At 34.3% G+C, this 24256-nt stretch overlaps 1 long non-coding RNA gene across 1 annotated transcript; it reads left to right on the top strand.

Annotated features, from left to right (window-relative positions):
• The first annotated feature begins 1257 nt into the window (after positions 1–1257).
• On the top strand, positions 1258–22166 carry LOC105370287 (uncharacterized). The gene is made up of 3 exons (XR_942130.2): positions 1258–1604; positions 4761–4883; positions 21775–22166. It is a non-coding gene; the product is annotated as an uncharacterized LOC105370287 (long non-coding RNA).
• The last annotated feature ends 2090 nt before the right edge of the window (positions 22167–24256 follow it).

Genomic DNA, 24256 nt, shown 5'->3' with positions numbered 1-24256 from the left:
GGTGGGCGTGGCCTCGGCAGGCCCCGCACTCGGAGCGGCCGGCCGGTGGGCGCGCAAGCCCCGCGCAGTGAGGGGCTTAGCACCTGGCCCAGCAGCTGCTGTGCTCGATTTCTCGCTGGGCCTTAGCTGCCTCCCCGCGGGGCAGGGCTCGGGACCTGCAGTCCGCCATGCCTGAGCCTCCCCACCCCCGCCGGTGGGCTCCTGCGTTGCGCGAGCCTCTGGGACGAGCGCCGCCCCCTGCTCCAGGGCGCCCAGTCCCATCCACCGCTCAAGGGCTGAGGAGTGCGGATGCACAGCGCGGGACTGGCAGGCAGCTCCACCTGAGGCCCTGGTACGAGATCCACTGGGTGAAACCAGCTGGGTTCCTGACTAGTGGGGACTTGGAGAACGTTTATGTCTAGCTAAGGGATTGTGAGTGCACCAATCAGCACTCTGTATCTAGCACAAGGTTTGTAAACACACCAGTCAGCACCCTGTGTCTAGCTCAGGGTTTGTGAATACACCAATCGGCACTCTGTATCTAGTTACTCTGGTGGGGACTTGGAGAATCTTCATGTCTAGCTAAGGGATTGTAAATACACCAATCAGCACTCTGTCTCTAGCGCAAGGTTCATAAACACACCAATCAGCACCTTGTGTCTAGCTCAGGGTTTGTAAATACACCAATCCACACTCTGTATCTAGCTAATCTAGTGGGGATGTGGAGAACTTTTGTGTCTAGCTCAGGGATCGTAAACGTACCAATCAGCACCCTGTCAAAACGGACCAATCAGCTCTCTGTAAAACAGACCAATCGGCTCTCAGTACAATGGACCAATCAGCAGGATGTGGGTGGGGCCAGATAAGAGAATAAAAGCAGGCTGCAGGAACCAGCAGTGGCAACCCTCTGGGATCCTCTTCCCCACTGTGGAAGTTGTGTTCTTTCCCTCTTTGCAATAAATCTTGTTGCTGCTCCCTCTTTGGGTCCACACTGCCTTTATAAGCTGTAACTCTCACTGTGAAGGTCTGCAGCTTTTCTCCCGAGGCCAGTGAGACCAGGAACCCCCCAGGAGGAACAAACAACTCCAGATGCCCCGCCTTAAGCGTTGTAACACTGGCCAGGCGTGGTGGCTCACGCCTGTAATCCTAGCACTTCGGGAGGCCGAGGCGGGTGGATCACGAGGTCAGGAGATTGAGATCATCCTGGCTAACATGGTGAAACCCCGTCTCTACTAAAAATACAAAAAATTAGCCAGGCGTGTTGGCAGGCACCTGTAGTCCCAACTACTTGGAAGGCTGAGGCAGAATTGCGTGAACCCGGGAGGCGGCGCTGGCAGTGAGCCGAGATTGCGCCACTGCACTCCAGCCTGGGCGACAGAGCAAGACTCCGTCTCAAAAAAAAAAAAAAAAAAAAGCTGTCACACTCCCAGCGAAGGTCTGCAGCTTCACTCCTGAAGCCAGTGAGACCAGGAACCCACCAGAAGGAAGAAACTCCGAACACATGCCAACATCAGAAGGAACAAACTCCAGACACGCCGCCTTTAAGAACTATAACACTCACCGCAAGGGTCTGCGGCTTCATTCTTGAAGTTAGTGAGACCAAGAATCCACCAATTCCGGACACAGTAAGTACTGTCTTATTGAAATACTGAATACGCAAAGACTAAACTCTGTTTTTAGGAACCTTCTGTAAAGAAAGGCCTCTGTAATTTAAGAAAATGTTTTTTCTTCCATTTTTGTTACCTGCCGTTAGATAGGTGCCAAACCGTATTTTTTTGCCCACCAGTGTTTTCAGAGTAAAATTTTTAAGCATGCTATGAGACTTGCACCGGAAAGGATGACAGACATGGACTTGCACTTGAACTGTTAAGTCCTCATACATCCATGATTAGTGTATAAACTTTATAAGCTTACAAGAAGGAAGATCATAGAATTTTTTTTAGGCTTTGAGTCTGGAGATCCTCTCCAATTTTCAGTGGATGACAAAGAAAATAGTTGAGCAAAAGACAAAAAAAGTAGCAAATTTCACTGTATCATTCAAAGATTTACAAAAATCATTTAAGTTAAATAAAAGGAAAATCTGCAATATGAATATATGATTAAAAAGGGAAAAAATGTACCATGTCTAAATTTACAAAGTCAAAAATATCAACAGAATAAGAAATTAGTTTGAATTTACATAAAGGTAATTAGATCAACACGTTTAATTACTTTAACCTCTATATAACCTTGAAACAATTTCTCCACTGAGATAAGCTATGAAAGTTTCATACAGAAATAGAGGAAAAGTGCACCTTAGTGCTACTCAACTCTTTAAAAACAGCTTTTAAATAATTATAACAGAAAATCAGTGTAATTATATTATGATTTCTCCTTGTGCAAAGGATCTCAAAATTTAGCTAACATCAGAATGATCTGAAGGCTTTTTAAACTACAAACTTCTAAGCCTGTCTCCTAATTCTGATTCATTATGTCTGGAGTGAAACAAAACAATTTGCGTGTCTAACAAGTTCCTAAGTGGTAATTATATTATTAATCCAGGGGTTATGCTTTCTTCATCCAATGTAACATCACAGAAAGCAGCCAAAGAAAATGCTTGAAGGATTAGTGGAGTGAAAAATCTTTCTTGCATGGCAAGTTCAAGATTTCTGAGAAATCACTCAGAAAACATACAGTGGCAAATTTATATCTAATATAACTTAGTGGATGCTTTGCCTTGAAATACTACGTGGAGGTCTATAAAAAGTAATTATTAACTTTATAGAAAAAAATGCTTCAGGAATGAACTTGTCAAAGAAAGCTGAGGTCTCATGTGAAAGATGCAATGATCAATGTTACTATTATCACAAGGAAGGCAGCACATTTTTCTTTGTTGCTCTGGTAGATTGGAGATAGGGTGATGTTAAAGATTTAAAGTTTGTACTTCATTTTATGAGTACAAATATATATTACTAATGAGGCATCCATACTGATAAATTTACATGAAATAATATAGAGAAAACGTATGTAAACAAAATTGTGTGAACAAAATTATGAAAGGCTTTATATTCTGTTTAAAAGCAATAGCAACATCATTATGAAGAAATAAAATAAATTGTAAAGAAATACTTTTATGGAAATAAAGGAAGGCCATTCACATGCGTAATTTCCACTGCATTATTCTTTTAATATGTCTACTAAGGGGTTTAAGAGTTGCAACCAACCTCCTTTATTTCCTGAGGATTTTTTTCTGCAATAGAAAACTATAATATAATATCAAGACACTATCATACCTCACAACTATAATGGGTGATAGAAGGGAATTCGTGTCACTATGAAGAACTATAGGACATGTGTTACTATACAAATATAATTATAACCCTCTATGTATTTGAATGATTTGTTTTAAAATAAAAATAGATTTTAAATATAACATATTGTTCAAAGTTTCAGGGTTAGTTGCTTTTCTTCATTTTCCACATTAACTGCAAAATAATCAAAGATAACCAAAAATTGTAGAGGACCAACAGAAGCAAAATTTCAAATTAAGATCTATTGAAACTAATCATCTTTTTATGTGACATTAATATAAATGATGCAAATGATATTGCATATAAAGTTCTCTGAGAGCAGAAAATTTATTATACCCATTTTTGCTAGTTATTCTTTATAATACCATTCAATGATTTTTCAAAAAATAGTAAAAGTATTGCTCATAAGAAGATCTTCACTTATCTTTCCATTTCTTTATTCCCTTTATTGCAAAACTGAGTGAAATATTTGCCCATACTGCTTTTCATTTTCTTGTTTGATGCATTCCTTCAATCACGATAATTAGGTTTTCATTTCTACTTCTCCAAAGAAATTGTCCTTTCCAAGTTCATAACAACTTCACTAAGCCAAAGCCAGTGGCGAATTCTAAGCTCTCAATTGATTAGACTCTCAGCAGTATTTGACATTACTAATGACTCCTTTCTTCTTATAATACTTACTTCACTTCGTGTAAGGGACACCATTACACTCTTGCCTCCCAATGTCATTCCCTTTGCTGGCCCCTATGCTTTCTACGTTTAATTTTAGAAACTCCACAGATTGACTCTGATGTTTATTTGTCAGAACTAACCATTCCCTTGAGCTTCACATTCATTTATCAAACTGTCCAATTTGCTACATGGCTTCGGTAGGTAACAGCATCACAAATGGATTGTGCTTATAACAGAACTCTTGATTTCTCCCTTCAAGCTCTAGAAATTATGCTCTCTTAGGACACAATCTTGTTAAATATCATGTAAAGGATGGACAGTCAGACCTGAAACACAGTGTTCAAGGAATGAAAACTAAAATCAAAACAAAAAACAAATATGAAAATGACCATTTAAATGCAGAAACATGGTATTTGAAACAGCATGAGACTTCTATGTGTAGCTTCATATGATGAGCTAGGATTCAAAAAAAGGAAATGATTGATTAAGATAGTCTCAGAGACTTTTCTCAAAGATGAAATGATATATTTGGCTGAGTTTCAGGAAATCCTTGAGTGAAAATTTGCAGAATATTCGAAAAAAATGATTTAAGTAATTTCTATATTTGGTTATAGATGTCTATATGTTTCTCAAAGTGATTTCAATGATTAATTTTTAAGGTGTTTATAATAGAAAACTTTCAGATATTATTAATAACTACGGACAGCATGGGTTCTACTACAGGTATGATTATGCTACCCACTTCGGACAAACCAGGTAAACAACATCTCTTTCACAAGGCAGACTGCAAAGACTGATTCCAAAGTGTCTTTTGTACAGGTCTGTTACAAGAGTGAGGCCATCTGAAAGGTAACAATCAACTTTCAGAAGATATGTATCCAAGTGGGCTACTTCCAATGTCTATGAGAAGTACCTGCACTTAAGAGTCTGCTATTGCCTTAGGTAAGTTTCAGCTTATAGACAAGATCCTAGCAGAGAAAAAAGGAAAGCACACATCCACATGCCTCCAAACACACAACACGATGAAGCTCTATCTAAAATAAGTAAGATGCTGGTTAATCTAGATTTGATATTGGGTCTCTTCTAACTTCAATGCATCAGAGATTTAATCAGACATGGTTGTTTTACTGTGAGTATTCAGAAGAATGTTTTAATTTTCTGAGTTATTCAATGAGAAGCGTGAGTGAAGAAGAAAAATTCAAGAAAATAAACTAAAACAATTCGCTTCTATTTTTACTCACCTCAATTACCTATAAAAAATTATCATTCAATTTGAAACATGTTGCTCTTTAGCAGCATGTTATGCTGCTTCCCCTGTTAAGCTGACGAAAAATATGAGGTCCTGAGCTTGTGGATAAGAAGCAACAGCTATTCTTCTATCAAGGCGAGAAGCAGCTGCATCCCCTATGTCCATGCCCTTTAGAATATACATAACACCCTGGAATCCCCGGTGGCAGCTGTGCACTGTAGTATCCTGGCTATAGCACTTTCTACACTATTTCATGAAGCTTAAGATGCTAATTTCAGGATGTAGAATGTTTAGCCTTGCAGCTTTGAGGATGTTGGCACTGAAGCTGATAGAAATGTGTTCTCTCGAGTTTGAATATGTCTTTATGCATCAGCATCTCTGGTAAATAATTCCTTACATTTATTTTCAAGCCCTTGTGTGCATTTGATAGAGTGAGACGAAGGGATTATTGCAATGACACACTGCACATCTTTGTTATTTTGGGGAACAGTTTTCCCTTCTGAAATATCAAGCATATTTTGGGTTTAATATCCCAAACCATTTCAGTTTTGTAATTTTTGTCATCCTCAGCAAATTAATCCCACACATGCCTTTGTCTGTCGTGTGAACCATGCAGAAATTTTGAATTATGTCACCTCTATAAATGGGAAACTTGGAAGAAGGATTAAATGCTAAGGGTGATCAGTCAGAGAAAGTGGCAACTCGTCTGGTTCAATGATTAAAGTCTGGACCTGAAAATAAGAATTACTAGGTTGTATTTGTGGCTTTGCTATCAATTTGCTATATGACTTTTAGTACGACTTTTCACCAGGAATTAGTTTTCAGATATGGGCTAAAGGAAAAAAATGTAGACCTTCAAAACCTAAAGGAAGAATTTGTTATATTTCTTAGAAATATTACATAGTTTATTAGGAGGGCCTTTCACAGAGTTTGGATAAATCTCAGCCAAATAAATGTTTTATGTCAGCTAAACTAATAACCAAAACATTAATTGGAGAAAAATGTGTAGGATGTTGAATTATCACACATAGGCAGTTCAAATAGGCATCTGGCTATGTTTCTGTTTAGATGGAGCTGTAAACAGTAGGAATTTCTAAGGTATGTAAATAACTTACAAAATCAGGATGGTATATAGAAACCTTAGGGAAAAAACCTGCTAACTTCAGAATTTAGAGTGATTTTTTTCCCACCGTCTTTATGTTTAGCCTGTTTGGAACATGACACAGCTAAATCCTTCCTTTCCTGGCAATTTACTGTCAGTTAAAACTCCACTGTATGTAATTGTGCCTCCAAATTCACATAACATAGATTTTTCTGATGCTTTACTGTCCTTATTGTTTACTTCGTTGGTTTTTAAATATTTTTTCAAAATGTTTAAATATTTTAAAGAGTTTTCCTTTCAAACTACAAAAGCTTTATATGCTTATTGAATCAAATTAGGTCATACAGATGTGTACAAAATACAATGCCTGAATGTAATTTTTCACTATTCCACTTTATAGTCATCTTTCTACATTTTTTCTATTTATAAGAAACAGATATATGTATAAACACCAAATTTCTTATTACAAAAATGTTATTATAAAAATTTTTGCCGATTTACATTTTTTCTTCTTGATTAGAAAGAAACTTAATAAGGATGTTTTCATCATGGTTTTCCAGAGCAACAGAACAGAGTATATATTTGTGTATATATATCCTACATATGTATATGCACGTATGTATATATACACAGGTGTATACATACACATATATACACGTATATGTAATATGTCATGTATTATATAATGTTCCATAATATATGTTCCATAATATATTATGTGTAATATTTAATAATACACATATATATGTGTATGTGTGTAAATATATATATATATACACACACACACAGAGAGAGAGAGAAGGTGGAAGAGACATCAATGTTAAAGAGTTGACTCATATGACTATGGAGGAGGTTCACAAGTCCAAAATCTGCAAGGTAGGCTGGACGACTGAAAACCCAGGGAAGAGTTGCTATTTGAGTCTGCTGGCAGAATTACCTCTACCTCCTGAAAAGTCAATTTTTTTATTTCTATTAAGTCCTTCAACTAATTTAATAAGGCCCATCCATATAATGGAGAGCAATCTGCTTTATTCAAAGTCTACTAATTTAAATGTTAATCTCATGTAAAAATTAACCTCACAGAAACAACTGGAATAATATTTGACCAAGTGTCTGGGTACCATGGCATCCAGCAAAGATGACTGATAAAATCGAACATCATATAGGCCTACGACTTTCTAATCTGTTCTAAGCACTTCTCATGTATTATTTCATTTAATAATCAAAACGACCCTATGATATAGGTATTATTATCATTTCAGTTCCTGAATACAAACAATGCCAACACCTTAAGCACATCGCTGTCTTCCTATGCTTTAATTTCCTCATCTATAGAATTAAAAAAATAGTATCTACAAAAATGTTGATATGAGTAATAAAAATGTAATACATGCAAAGTGTTTAACCCAGTATCAGGTACATGGTAAGCACATTAACACTTTTGTTATCATTTTATCAGACTATATTCAAACATTCCTTATCGATGGTTATTTATGTTGCTTGCCATGACAAATACTTGGATATAAGCCTTTTTTATTTATTTGCTGGTAGCTTTGTTTCTGTAGAATATGGTCACAAATAAGGGTAATTGACCCTTTTAATAGGTCCAAATCAATGATTTTTTATACTGTTCACAAGATTTTGCAATCATCACCATTAATTCCAGAGTAGTTCATTATCCCAAAGGAAACGCCATACCTATTAGCAATCACTCCCTATTTCTCCTCTTGCCAAAGCCCTGATAACGACTGGTACAGTTTCAATGTGTGTCCCTGCCCTGAATCTCATGTTGAAATATAACCCCGAATGTTGGAGGTGGGGTCTGGATGGAGGTGGTTGGATCATGGGGGCAAATTTCTCATGAATGATTCAGTGCCATACTCTTGGTGCTGTCCTAGGCATAGTTAAAACTTCTCATGAGATCTGGTCATTTTCAAGTGCTTAGCACCTCCCTATTCTCTCTCTCACTCCTGCTCCCTCCATGTGAGACACCTGCTCCCCCTTCACACACTGCCATGACTGGAAGTTCTTTGAGCCCTCCCTACAAGCAGATGCTGACTTTATGCTTCCTGTACCGCTTGCACAGTGAACCAATTAAATGTTTTTTCTTATAAATTACTCAGTCTGAGGTATAGCAATGTAAGAACAGCCTAATACAACCACAAATTAATGTTTTGTCTATTTGTCTATGTTGGACATTTAACAAAAAAAATGAATCATATAATATATTGCCTTTTGTGTCTCACTTATTTCACGTGGTATAATGTTTTCAAGATTCACCCATGGTATAGCATATGTCAATACTTCACTCATTTTCATGGATAAATAATATTCTGTTATATAGATGTATACCTCTTTTGTATATCCATTTATCACTTGATGAGTATTTGAGTTGTTTACAAGTTGAGATATGCATAGTGTTGCTGTGAACATGTATGTATTAATACAAGATTTTCTGTGAACATGTTTTTATTTATCTTGGCTATATACGTAGAAATGGAATTGCTATAATGTTTTCCTAATTATAAAAATTTACACTCCCATTAGCAATATGTGCCAATACTTGGGTCTTTTGTTTTGTTTTGATTTATGACATAATCACTACAAAAGAGTAATTTAGTATTTTCTCAAATTTTTGTCTTAGAGGTTATAATTAACAGGGACAGAGATTAACTAATATTTATTAAAGCAGGCAAAAATATGGATCCTTTACATATATTATCAAATTTTATGTTCACAATATCCTTGGAAGATTTTATCAGATATACTTGTATGGTGAATATTCATTCATTATCACAATTTTAATATGAGGAATAAGACCTGGGAATAATGTATTCAATATCACTCAGCTAATGAAAAATAAGACCAGTGTTTGAGAATACTACAACTAACCCATGTGTTTCAAGTTGCCTTATGAATTTTAAACATATTTTGGCAACTTGCCCAAAGCAACACAGCAACAAAGTAACTGTAATTTGGTAGAAAAATGATTCAACATTAGTGCCTTCTGATTCCAGAGTTTCTTTGCCTGAAAAGTGTGTGAATTTCCCAGGAAAATCTCTTTTTTCTATTTCTATGTAGAAATGGTGGCCTTACCTCACATATTTCTTTTTAAAAGATTGCATAGCATAAAAGGTTAAGCCTTTTATCCTCTGGGAAGAGCACTGTGTTCATTTCTGCTGAGTCCCTCCATTGTAGTATCACACATCAGCACATTTTCTTATGTTGTTCTTGTTCGCCAGGTCTTGATTGCAAAGCTTCCTTTATCTGTTACTGTTGGAGAAAACCTCCAATGTATTTTGATGAACAGACTTGCAGTTGTCTGTCCTCATTTTTAAAAATGATCTCTTAATTTTACCTCTACCATGCTTACCTGAACTGATGTGTGGTGCTTTTACATGATAACTGAATGGGCTGTGAAATAATACAGTTTAAGTATAGCAATTTAAATTTGACAGCAATTAAACTCTGCACTAAATATAAGTACTTGGTTATTACATGCTCTCTAAACTGGAATATGGTCTTTTCTTATTAAGCTATTTAAAATATTATTGACTATATATTTGTTTTCTTTTTTTATTTTTTAAAAATCCTCAGAAACTATTTACATGCTTCCACATTTTATTTGGGTGTCAATTTTTAATTTAAAATAAAATGAAAAAATAATAAATATAGTCTTAAGAGACTTATCCTGTCATTCCTAGTTATAAAGGGGGTTTCAGCTCTCTTTACTTTCTGGAACCCAGTGCTTCCCTTGGGAAGAAGTGTAGTTGGTATATTCTGTGTACCCAGCATCTGTTGGGTAATATGTCATTGAATTTGGGACCAGAAATATTGATTATGAAAGCAGTAAGCAGTCTCCATTTAGGATCTCTGCTGCTACTACTGGTCTATCTGTTCTCAGACATGATGAAGGTACCTTGCTTGCACTTTCATTCTCCTTGAGGTGAGAAGTTCAGGCAGGACTGGCCTTTGAGGGCATGCTGAGTTCTCCTTTCCCACTGCTCATACTTTCCATTTTCGGTTGAGAATGATGAAAAATTAAGGTAAGCCCCTATTTATCTCCAATTCAAGTAAGAAAGATTTGTAGGCCTATTGTTGGGCTGAAGTCCTTGTCTCATTCTTAATTCATTTTACAGGGAACCCTGCACTTTGAGTAATAATAGAACACCTGACTCTTATGTTTATCCTCACTCTCAAAAACAAGCCTCAAATGAACAATGCATGAAACCCTATCTCTCTAATAGAATCCCTGATCAATCCACTTCAACCTCTAATCCATACAAATTTAGGAAAGAAATAACTACCAAATACAAAAAAAGGGAATTTTTAATTATTCATGTTTCTGCTCTCTTTTACTATGCATATATATAACCAAATGTATATAAAGCTACATAAATCAAATCACAATATAATTACTCATTCAGCTTTATTTTTACATATGCAATAATAAAAAGTTTAACAATATAATTTATTCTAAACATTAACTTTATTATTTAAAAATTTAAGAGGTTTTGACAAAAATCTAATAAAAATCTGTGTCAACAACTTTAATTGACATTTTGAGCATATCAATTTTTAGAATGACATATGAAGTAACTCTTCACAGTAAAGTTGTAATTTCACAGTTTATTAATGATACTAATAAATTGCATATTTTGAGAGATGCTCAAGTAGGCAATTACTATTACTTTTCCTGTTTCATATGTTAAGGAGCTAATTTAAGAATGAAGTTTTGAGAAACCTTCTTTTTTATCTACTTAGTTTTAGCTACTTAGTTTATTTATTTTTAGCTACTTAGCCACTTAGATTTTCCAGTCTGCCTCTTACTCAAAGACCTGATTTGCAATCAACAGTTATGTAAATTTTTTATCAGATTACACTTTCAGTACTAAATTTTCAATAACATACATAACAATTACTTCAGTAAAACTGACAAAATGTCAGAGAGTGGGACAGGGTAGAGTAATTAGCAGAATGGTGGGAGTCTGCAGCAATTCAAATAGAGAAAGTTTTTATTTTCCTGAAGGTTGTAATTTCCTAGAGGATAAGCAAAGAAGAAAATTTTTATGGACAATTTTATCACTCGAGTTAGGATGTAGAGAATCTACATATCACCTAATTTTAAAGTTCTGTGAGTTTTATTATATAATAATATTTTTACCTATAATTTATGTCACAATAAAATGTTGTACCATTTCTAGGTCACTTGCTGTGGGTATTATAATATGCAAATAATGATATTAAGGATTTAATCTTTGCTTTTACTAAACAAATCACCTTTTATAGGTTTCAGGATGCTAATTTTATTTCATCCTGACTTACATCCTGCTAAGGTGACAACAAAATGCCATTGATGTCATGATTTTCTCATTGTGCTAAACCTTTAATATACTACATTTACAAACTCAAAAGCAAGACCAGCAGAATCTGAGAACGGTGCATTCTAATGTGAAATGTTTACCAATTTTAAAGTTTTGTAAATAAAGTTGACTTATATGCAAGTAGTTTATGTCTAATTATAAAACACACAGGTAAAATTGTTAGTACATTGTTAGTACATATGTTATTTAAGCTTTAGTAAACCCTTTTTATAAACAATTCTTTGCATATTTGAGAGAATATTGCCTTGATTAAGCTTATTTGCAACACAAAATGCATAGTTCCTTTTCTTAAATTGGATCCTTTTTTGTTTCTAGCTTAATTAAGAGAAAAATGTATAAAAACAAAAAAGAATCTGTTTAATTTTGGATCATTGCTACTTCTGTTTCCAATATATATCATATGGGAGAATAATAATTTCTTAATTTTCATCTTTGGAAAATGTAAAACAATTTAGGTTTTTCTTATAATTATTTCTGTCTTTTCATAGTCTTATCCCACCTGCCCAGTGACAGTGTGTCACCAACATTTTCCAAAATATTGTACTACGGTTTGCACTGCTTTATTATTGTCTCTAATCACAATAAGAAAAAATTTAAGAAAGGCCTTTATACTAAAGTTATAGTTAATAAGTTTGTATCTTATAACTCTAAATGGATAATGTTAGTTTCAACAAGAGTTCTTTAACACAAAGGAATTAGTCAACAATGTTGGGATTTTCATCATCTGCAGATTTGTAGAAAAAGGAAAAGACATTTTGGACAGAAAAACTTCCTCTCAAATCGTATCCTATAATTGAACATAAAAATATTAGAAATAGCACCTTTTAAAATTAGACAGTATAGTCCTTATTCTTTAAAAGTATTTACATATACTATTTCAATTAACCTTTACAACAATTCTATGAAATTGGTTTTATTATTATAAGTCAATTTACTGATTTACTGATGAGAAAACAGAATAATGGATAGTTGCATCAGGCCTGACATACTGATAAAATATCAGATATAAATGGGCTATGTTTTCTGAGAATTCTGGGACCAAATAGCTGTCACTCCCCTCCTTTCCCAATAATATTCACCACATTGTTGTGTCATGATCTTCCACTTAAGAAAATACAAATTTCTCCTGTGTCATATCTGCCTAAAATGTTTTTATTTAAAAAATACTCCATATGTTCAGATCACATTTCTACCTGCGTTTTAATTGATGCCTTATACTCTTGCTTCATATCTACAAACCCTGGGTTTGTTAATGTTTCCCAAAATGTTGAATATCTGTACCACAAAGCAGATTAACACAATAGCATATACATTAGGCAATACATACATTAGGCAGTATACAGTATACAGCATAGAGTACAGATAAGCCTTCCTCTCAAAACTCCGGTCTTTGCACCATTAACTACTTCCTTGAATGAGATATCATGAGATTAGCGATTCCTTCACGTGTTTTACTGTCACAAACTCCTCACAGTCTGGCTTTGCTCTCAAAATAGCAATTTCATTGACCTGGTGTCGTGACACCAATAATTACAATCATCTCATTGAAAAATTCTTCTTAAGGTACCTCTGGGCCATTGATAAATTTGAATATTTAACAAATTTAATTTCCATAAACTGTCCTTAAAAGAGAAAGGTTATATAATGCACTTCCATGGAGTAGTAGTCACTTCTTCTTGTTATTACATTCAGGCAAAAACACCCATAATTTTCTAAAAAGTCATTAACAATATAGATGATTTATTCATCATGAACTTTTGTACTGATGCTATTCAAGGGCACTGCTAAATTTAAGAATTTTATCATTGATAAATATAGATAAACAACCATCCCAACAAATACACACCCCCAGACTATCCTTAGTGTCAATCTTAATAAACATTGGTAGGACAAAAAAAAAGTGCGTGAAAAAGCTTAAAAAAAATGTATCTGATGGAAGGCAGTACCAACCCTCATTAAGCTGCAGTTCCTACACTAAGAGTTCTATACGTTTTCCATCTTGACCATCTACTGGGTAATTAATTAAAATTATTCATTATGTTCCCATGAGGTGCTACTAAACTTATCTACAAAAACTACACCCTCAGTTTAGTTGCATAAATGGCAATATAGATTTTGCTAATATCTGTGGAATTTTAAAAATCTTGCTGAGATCTTTATTACTATGCACATTTATCAATTTGAAGTTTTTGTTTTCCATTCTATAGTGTGTACACATTAATTCAACAGTCTAGACAAGTTTAAAATAAAGAAAAACTACAATGTTGATTACCTTAGGGAAAACAGAGTTTCTGATAGAAGTCCTTGTTTTGCAGTAGGTTTTCTAGTCATGGCATTTATTTACATACACCTTTGGGCATTGATCTCATGAAAATCACAGCTGTCTCCTCAGTTCTCCAGAAAATATCCAAAAACTAAGTAACATTAATTCAATATTTGATGAATAAATATTTGATGAATAAATATTATGTTCACCAACTGCACAAATATCCATGAGATTTCTTCTCAAGGTACCTCTAGGCCATTGGTAAGTTTGAATATTTAACAAACTTAATTCCCATAAACTGTTTTAACATGATTTACATAAACTGTTCTTAAGAGAGAAAGATGATATAATGCATTTTCATGGAGTAGTAGTAATTTCCTTTTTGTTATTACATTCAGGCAAAGACACAAAATTTCCTAAAACCAAAGTCATACACAAGCCCTATAAACATAAACACATTGGGAACACAAGACATATTAATAAATATAAAATAATTGTCAGGATACAATCAAATGTGAAAGTGAGGAAGAAGTTGAGAATGGGGTCAAGAATGTTAAACTGCCTGGTGTATGGGATAAAATCTTTCACAATGAAGAAATTTCCCACTAAAAAATGCAGAAAGTGTCTTCATTTAGAAACACTGGTATTAGAGGATTTAGTATTTACTAGTGAATCATTACTGATAGATCAGTGACAGTAGGAAATCAATTTTTGCTGTGTTTTGATATTAGTTTACTCATATTTAATCTGCAATAATATTCAGAACCACTTGGAAGTAAGAACACATGAAAAAGCTATGAATACAGAAGACCACGTGGCCAAATTACAAAAAAGAACATTGGCTCGAATAGTCTTCCACCTGCTTGAGATGTATCATAAAACAAACTGCATCAACTCCAAAAGATTTCCAAACAAGACTTACTCCAAGGCATATGGTTGGGTCTTATAAAACAGAGATTCAACAACCAATTAAGTTTCCAACGTTCTGTGTTTCACAAAATAAACAATTTTTATATACCTCTCAATAGCTTTAATATACTAATGTTTATAATTTTCAAAAATAGAAATAATTACATAACATGTATTAATATTATCAAAATGCTTTTTCTGCAAAAGTTATTTTTGGAAATAAAAATCCTATATAGGCTGCTTCTACCAAAATGTATGAAAGACACATCCTTTATCCATTGGTTAGAAAATCAGGCTTAGTATGATTTCTCTTTTTAATTTTTGCTCTATAAGCATTGATGGCAAAAAGTGTGTTTAATTACCCATATGCAATTAAACACTTAAGGGATTAATTAATTAGTTAGCATTTGTAACACTCTAAGATGAAAATCACTGTTTAAGAATTATTAATATGAACAGATGCAAGGGATGAAAGCGTCATTTATGCATGCATATGGCACACCCATCAACTCTTAGCTTATGCTTGATTATGAAGATGGATAAATATGCTCTTTGCTTTATCATAAATGTCAACTTTGTTAGGGCCCTATTCAAAGACATGATTGCTCTTTGAGCCAACATGAGCACCAATTTCCAAATACTAAACCAATGTGTCTTCAGAAAAATTATGCCTCAAATCATTCTCAGTAATGCTTGTTTCCACTTACAGAAAAAACTACGTGTTTTGTAAAAGCATATTTAAATTGATAAAGTAAATTATGTCACCATTATATATATGTACTTGTTGTCCAATGCTGTTGGAAATGAAACTACAATATTAACTATCAGACAGAAAGTATTATTTATTTAAAAGAAGTAATAGAATTTGAGCCATTCTCTACTGCAACATCTAACAGTACATCATGTCCAACTGCAGATTTCTCATTTAATTTAAGCCTTCTAAAGTTAAATTTGGATATTTACTATCATTTTTATGATATAATTATCTCCCTTTATAAGATTAAAGATATTCATTTAACGGAAGGGCAAATCTATATGAAAGCATATTTTTGTATTTTATCTTTGGCATGTTGATTTAATAAAATAAGGCTATTTTGGTACTACATTGATGTAAAGCCAAAACTCATTGAAAGCAATAAAAATCCATATAAGCTGTTGACTAATGCTTTCATTTTAACCTAAGATAACATATTAAAACTTACAACGTGATAAGTGATGTCCTCACACAATATCACAGCAAATAATGAAGAAATAATATGGAGTTTACAGAGCCATTTATATCAACTTCTTAGATGGCCAAAACCTGTTATCTTAGCTCTGCCAGCCATCAATTCAAATACATAATAGAAAGATATGTTTTCCTTGAGAACATTTTTGATGCTTGGTAAAGCTTTATGTTGGCATTTTTATTAAAACAATGTGTAGGTTGCTATAGTTATATGGAAATGGTATTTCAGCTTCCAACCTCTGTTTTCATAAAGTGAAAATATAAGCAAAACACTCATCAGAATAAAGCCTTAAGTACTTACTTTCAATATAACACTTAATTGTGTTTCTAAATTTAATGAATAAATGTTAAATTAACATGAAAGCCAAGGCTTAAGCATGCAGAAAGTAATGCAAAAGAGGCTACAAAATTTGATAATTTAATGGAAACAATTTCCTGAATATGTTCAGTGTCTTAGCACAACAGATATTCTTCTTTTAAAATGATTTTATTCAGATGTATATATTTTTAACTCTAGGTCACTTAATGTTTGTAGCTAGAGAAGATGAAGAAAGTCCCTTGTAATGAACTAAAACATTGTCTCTCTCTTTGTTATGGATTTTAAAACTTGTTGCCAATACATATAATTTGTTCAAGCAAAGAATGTTTTATATTCTCATTATTATTTCTTTATCTTAACCTTCAACAGCAATGATGATCCTATCTTTATCTTAACAATAGCATATCTAATTTATATTTTCTTAGAAAATAAGCAGTCAGTAAATGGAAAGAATTGTGTGCATTAAAGTAAGTAAAATCTATGTTAAAAATATCCAGAGATGTAATCCACATTTTCATTGTTGTTATAGATTACCCAACTCCTAAGGGTCTTTCCAAAATTATGCCTAAGCAATTCCATTGATATTTCAAAAGATTAGTTATTACATTCTGGAAAATAACTCTTCACATAATTGAAGGAAGGTTTAAAATTAACCTTTGGCTTTCTTTTTTTATATACCAAGTTTAACATGTTAAAATAGAGGATTTAGCTTACACTTGATTATGAAGATGGATAAATATGCATGTTGACATGGCTATCAACAATGACAAAGACCAGAGATTTAGGAGTAGATGGATGAAGTGGAGTGGCAGGTTAGACCATTAAAAATGTAGAGCATGGAAATATTTAAACCAATAAAAATAACAAGAATATTAGAGGATAAAAGACAGAGATTTGGCTATTAAAACATGTAATTACTTGGATTATAAATCATTCTACTATAAAGACACATGCACATGTATGTTTATTGCAGCAATATTTACAATAGCAAAGATGTAGAACCAACCCAAATGCCCAACAATGATAGACTGGATAAAGAAAATGTGGCACATATATATACCATGGAATACTATGCAGCAATAAAAACGAATGAAATCATGTCAATTTGCAGGGACATGGATGAAGCTGGAAGCCATCATTCTCAGCAAACTAACACAGGAACAGAAAGCCAAACACCATATCTTCTCACACATAAGTGGGAGTTGAACAATGACAACACATGAACACAGGGAGGGGAACATCACCCACTAGGGCCTTTTGGTGGGGTGGAGGACAAGGGAAGTGATAGCATTAGGACAAATACCTAATGCATGTGGGACTTAAAATCTAGATGATGGGTTGATAGGTGCAGCAAACCACCATGGCACATGTATACCTATGTAGCAAACCTGCATGTTCTGGCACATGTATCCCAGAACTTAAAGTAAATTTAAAAATTTTTAAAAAGAAATAAAGGAATCAAAAACATTAAAAATAAAAAGGAAAAATAATATGTAATTACTGAGGAATAGTAGGACGTAGGAGGTCAAGGAGAAGCATGTAGGGTAATAACAGGTGCTTCAAAATTCTTTGCTTTTCTAGGGAGAAGATAAAACAGTGACATAAAAGTGGTAACAAAAGTTTAAGGGCCTAGTTCACCTTCTCTGCAGTACACAGATGAAAAGGGAGAGAACACAGTATCTTCAACTGACATCCAGGCTTTTGCATTAGTTAGGAAAGTTCTGAAAAAAATGATGAATATTTAATGGATTTTGTTGATGACAGATTTTGAGTTCAAATGAACATCAAAGAAGAGTTTGTGTTGACAGAGTTAGGAAGAAGTGGACACTGTATTCGTATTGGGGGATACACTGAACATTTTGTAGATGAACCTAAATGCTGACAGATAACCTAAGAGGCTGTGAATTGCTCTGGATACCAGCTAAGAAAATGGGACATGATTGAAATTATTTGGATGGTTTCTTAGACAGAGCTAATCAATCACACTTAAGACTCTGCCTGTGCTCTTAGGCAGTCTATACTGCTAGTGTCCAAAATGTTGGCAGATATGAAGTAAGGTTTTCTGTTTGTTTTTTGAGACACAGTCTCGCTTTGTTGAGAGGCTGGAGTGCAATGGCGTGATCTCTGCTCACTGCAAACTCCGCCTCCTGAGTTCAAGCAACTCTCCTGTCTCAGCCTCCCAAGTAGCTGGGATTACAGGCCCCCGCCACCATGCCCGGCTAATTTTTTGTATTTTTAGTAGAGATGGGGTTTCGCCGTGTTGGCCAGGCTGGTCTCAGACTCCTGACCTCAAGCGATCCAGCCACCTCGGCCTCCCAATGTGCTGGGATTACAGGCATGAGCCACGGTACCTGGCCTGAGGTTAGTTTTTTTATTCAATCCTGCAATGGGTGATACAGAGAGCATGGGAGAACATTTTAAGCAGATTTATCTGTGTAATCCTAGTGTTCTGAAATTTTAAATTGATGTGCTTCATGTGAGAACTCTCATTAAATGTCATAAAAAACAGATGCACTACGTGAACTAGAAAATGTTCTTGCTTTTAGTTCTGAAATCACATTGTTTCATCCATCTAATAACTAGCCCAGTTATTCCTTTTTCAGTTTTCTCTTTCTGAAAGTTTGGGTATTCAACTTAGATTTAGCCTACAAATTTCTCATATATTTTTTGTTACTTTTTAATCACTGTCTTTTTGTTCCACTCACTAGAGCAATCCTCAGTTTTACCTAAAATGAGTATTCTGTCATTCAATTTTTTTTATTTCCAAGTGTATTTCTTATTTAAGAAATGTGCCCTTTTAAAACATGTTCTTATTTTATGGACTTAATAAACTTTGTGGTATTTCTGAGGACATTAGCTATATTGAGTTAAATTTCCTTCTAATCTCTGCATTGCCTGTTTCTTTAAATTCCTTTTTTAAGTTTCTTGGTTTTGTTTTCTCTCATTGATGCAAAAGTCTTTCTTCAAAGTGTGGATCACAATTTGATGTCATATTTAAGAGTCAGTCATTGTACTTGTTGGCTATATAAATATATATTTTGAGAAATGTCTATTCAGGTCTTATTTTTCAGTGTACACATACATTAAAACATCACATTGTACCCCATAAATATGTATGATAAAAAAGAGTAAGGCATTTAAACAGCATGGGATCTCTGTTTCAAGTGAGAGATTGGATAGCAATCCATCCTTTTCATGGAAATAACCCCCAAACAGCATAGCCCGACTTTTGTTTAGGATTATGCAGTTTATTCAGAGAAGAGTATCTCATTCTCCTGATTTAGGGAGGATGAGAGGAGTATGTCCCTGTGTTCTTGGTCTTGGAGCTTATCTATATAACAGAGTTTGCCACTATTTTTTTCAGTAATTTAAGTTATTCTTATTGCCCTTGCTTTTAATGCGAGATCATTTTCTGGTAATCCCATATCTCGACATCCTTTGGTTAATTTTTTCATAGATTAATTTTTCTGTTCACTTTGTAGAGAGATGTAATCAACTGGTTTCCCTGATGGGAATTGCAAACTGAGTTTTAAGTTCTTCTTCTTCATATTTTTTAATATTCTTGCATTTTTAGTCCCATGCCTTACTCCCATTTTAAGAAATTCCTCCTTTCTCCAATTCTGGATTTGCCTATAGCACTTGAAACAAATCAGCTTTCTTATCCATGGACAGATGCCAGTTTTCTCTTTGAGGATGATATCTAAACAGATGTTCATCCACTTTTCACCTTCTTTAGTTTAGTTTAGTTTAGTTTCTGCTTCTCAGCTTGTATCACCTGTACATCCATTTTCCTTGACATTCTTATTCCTCTATGACCAACTTAGTGTTAATGCAGGAAAGAGCTAAAATAAATAACTTCACACAATATGCCATGTTTTGGTCATAATTATATTTTATTCTTATTATTTTCACTATTTTCGTTATCTTTCTTTTTTGCATTTTTAAGCTAAGAAGTTGATGATATGTTTTAGTCAAAAATTCTTTCGGCCGGGTGTGGTGGCTCACGCCTGTAATCCCAGCACTTTGGGAGGTCGAGGCAGGTGGATCACGAGGTCAGGAGTTGGAGACCAGGCTGACCAACATGGTGAGACCCCATCTCTACTAAAAATACAAAAATTATCCGGGCATGGTGGCATGCGCCTGTAATCCCAGCTATTCAGGAGGCCGAGACAGGAGAATCACTTGAGCCCAGGAGGTGGATGTTGCAGTGAGTCGAGTTAGCGCCACTGCACTCCAGCCTGGGTGACAAGAGCAAGACTCTGTCTCAAAAAAAAAAAAAAGAGAAAAAAACCAATTTTTTCAAGTAAAATCAAAATTAAGATGAATATAACAACACCAACATGTCATATTGTGTTATTTATGAATAATTATTTCAGTGCAAAACTCTATATAATAGGCTAAGTTAAATATAATAGGTAATTATATCACAGTGAACTTAACAAACTTATTGACATTAAGATTTAACACTGATATGGAATATATACAGTGAGTACTATGTAACAAAAAACAACTTTGTGCAAAACAAATTAGTTTTCCCAAAAATATGTAAAAGAATTGCTTGTCATACATAGATTTGAAGGAAACCATGTAAAAACATAAAACAGACTTACTTCAAATTTTTTATGTTTAGATGGAGGATCAAGTTTTTACATAAATTTTCAAAGTTTAGAAGCAATTTTATTTTTTATGATAAGCTTCATTTGGTGCTTTATTATAGTGGAAAAAATACTCTCATGTAAAAGTCTTGTAGCTCTTGATAATATCCCTCAGGTTCATCTTAAACTACCTGGAATTTACAATCAACTTGCAGGACTCGTTCAAAATTTTTGGCAATAAGAGCAGATTGAAGGTTATGATTGTATAATATTTTGGTATAATTACCTGTGGCCTTGTAAAAGTAAACGGCAAACATCTGCTGAAAAACTGATCATCCTCATCTCCATACATGTGAGAAGTTCTGAAATATTCTGTTATGCAGTAGCCAGAAAATAAGAAGAAATAAATTAAGAAATAAATTGCTCACTAAAATATAAAAAATGCAAAATCCATTTGTGTCTAAAAATTTTACCAAAGAGAATGATCTCACAAAAAAAATTATTTTCTTAAGATGTGAGTAACAAGAGAATCAAGCTTTTAAAAAAATTCAATATAGTTAAAAAGTAATAAAAGGTATATAAAGAATGAACTGTGATCAAGTTGTTATTCTAATACTTATGAGACAATATTGCTACTAGAAGTTATAAAAAATGGGGAAAACTATTATAGCAGTAACTTAAAAAACTTTTTATTTCTTTTAAAATCAATATCAATTTTTCTAAAGTACATTTTTTAACATGCAAAATATAAAAATAAACATTTATTTTTTTTTAATTGCAGGTACTGTTTGCACCGCCCCCACCCCTCCAAAAAAAAACAACAAACAAGGACGGCTTCTCTAGTGCTTGCCACCTTTGTCAAAGCACCTGACACCACTGTCAAAGCACCCAGAGCCAGCAGAGCTACCTCACCTGACAGTTATCTCCCTAGGGCCTGAGAAATGGCCTACCTGGTGGCCCCCAAGCTCACTGAACTAGGCCAATGACTCCACAAATGCCCACAGTCTAAGCCACTGAGCGACATGCAGACATCATTGAGACTAATTTTTTTAAATATCATGGATTAAAAAGGCATTCCATTCCAATTAAAACCAAAATCAAGCAGGAGTAGCTATACTTAGATAAAATAGACTTAAGTAAAAAACTGTAAAATGGGTCAAAGAAGGTCATTATAAAATAATCAAGGAATCCAGCAAGAAGATATAACAATTATATTCTCACACAACACTGGTGCACTTAGATATGTAAAGCAATATTACTAATCCTAAAGGAAAAAGAGACACAAATACAATAAAAGCTGGGGACTTCAACACCACACTTCCAGCATTAGATCACCTAGACAGAAAATCGACAAAGAAACGTCAGATATAATGTACACTATAGAACAAATGAATCTAACAGACATTTACAGAATATTTCATCCAACAGCTACATAATACACATTTTCTTCACCAGTACATGAAACTCTCTCCAAGATAGACCATATGTTAGAACACAAAAAAATTCTTAACAAATTTTAAAAAATCAAAACTATAGCAAGTATATTCTCAGACCACAACAGAATAAATCTAGAAATTGATAAGAAGAGGTGGGGCACGGTGGCTCATACCTATAATCCCAGCACTTTGGGAGGCCGAGACAGGCAGATCACGAGGTCAGGAGATCAAGACCATCCTGGCTAATGCGGTGAAACCCTGTCTCTACTAAAAATATAAAAAATTAGTCAGGCGTGGTGGCATACGCCTGTAGTCCCAGCTAGTTGGGAGGCTGAGGCAGGAGAATTGCTTGAAACTGGGAGGCAGAGGTTGCAGTGAGCCGCGATCTCGCCACTGCACTCCAGCCTGGGCAACAGAGCAAGGCTCAGTCACAAAAATAAATAAATAAATAAATTGATAACGAGGAACTCTGAAAACTATATATACACGGAAATTAAACAATATGGTCCTCAATGACCATTGGGTCAAGGGAGAAATAAAGAATAACGTTTTAAATATTTCCTGTAAGAAATAAAAATTAAAATAAAACATACTAAGATCTAGGAGGTACAGTAAAAACAGTGCTAAGAGGGAATTTTATAGCAACAAGTGCCTACACCAAAAAAGTAGAAAGATTTTAAATAAATAATCTAGTAATGCATCTTAGAGAACTAGAAAAGCAAGAACCAATCAAACCCAAGATTAGTAGAAGAAATGAAAAAATAAAAATCAGCAGAAGTAAACAAACTAGAGGCCAAAAAACAATAGAAAAGACCAACAAAAAAATTATTTCTTGAAAAATAAGCAATATCAATAAACCACTTGCTAAGCTAAGCAATAAAAAAAGGAGATCCAATAAACAACATCAAAAAATGAAAAAATAATATTACAATTAACACAAATACAAAAGATTATCAAGGATTTTTATGAACAACTATACACTAACAAACTGGAAAACCTATAGGAAATGGATAAATTTCTGGACATATGCAACCTACCAAGATTGAATCAGGAACAAATACAAAAACTGAACGGAACAATAATAAGTAAAAGATCAAAGCAGGAATCAAAGCCTCTGATATGGTTTGGCTCTGTTTCCTCACCCAAATCTCATGTTGAATTGTGTTGGGGGAGGAGCCTGGTGGGAAGTGATTGAATCTTGGGGGCAGACTTCCCCTTTGTTCTTCTCATGACAGTGAATGAGTTCTCATGAGATCTGGTTGTTTAAAAGTGTGTAGCACTTACCCCTTCGCTCTCTTTCTCTCCTGCTCCTCCATGGTAAGATGCGCTTGCTTTCTCTTAGCCTTCTATCATAATTGTAAGTGTCCTGAGGCTTCCTAGCCATGCCTCCTGTACAGCCTATGGAACTGTCAGTCAATTAAACCTCTTTTCTTTATAAATTACTCAGTCTCAGGTAATTTTTTAATACTAGTGTGAGAATGGACTAATACAGCCTCTCAAGAAAAAAAAGTCCAGGACCAGATAGCTTCACTGCCAAATTTTACCAGGCTTTCAAAGAATAACTAACACCAACAACTAACACTCACACTATTCCATCAAATTGAAAATAAGAGAACTCTTCCTAACTCACACTATGAGACCACCACTACCTGGATATGAAATGCAAACAAGGACACAACGAAAATAAGAAAACTACAGGCCAATGCCTCTGATGAACATAACTATAAAAATCTTTCACAAAATAGCAGTAAAACAGATCCAATAGCAAAACAAAAAAACAATAATGTAACATGTACAAGTGTGATTTATTCCAGGTATGAAAGAATG

This window comes from Homo sapiens, chromosome 13 (assembly GCF_000001405.40).
Source record: "Homo sapiens chromosome 13, GRCh38.p14 Primary Assembly".
Classification (NCBI taxonomy): Eukaryota; Metazoa; Chordata; class Mammalia; order Primates; family Hominidae; genus Homo; species Homo sapiens.
Note: the sequence above shows the minus strand (reverse complement) of the source record. Positions and strands in the feature narration are given on the sequence as shown.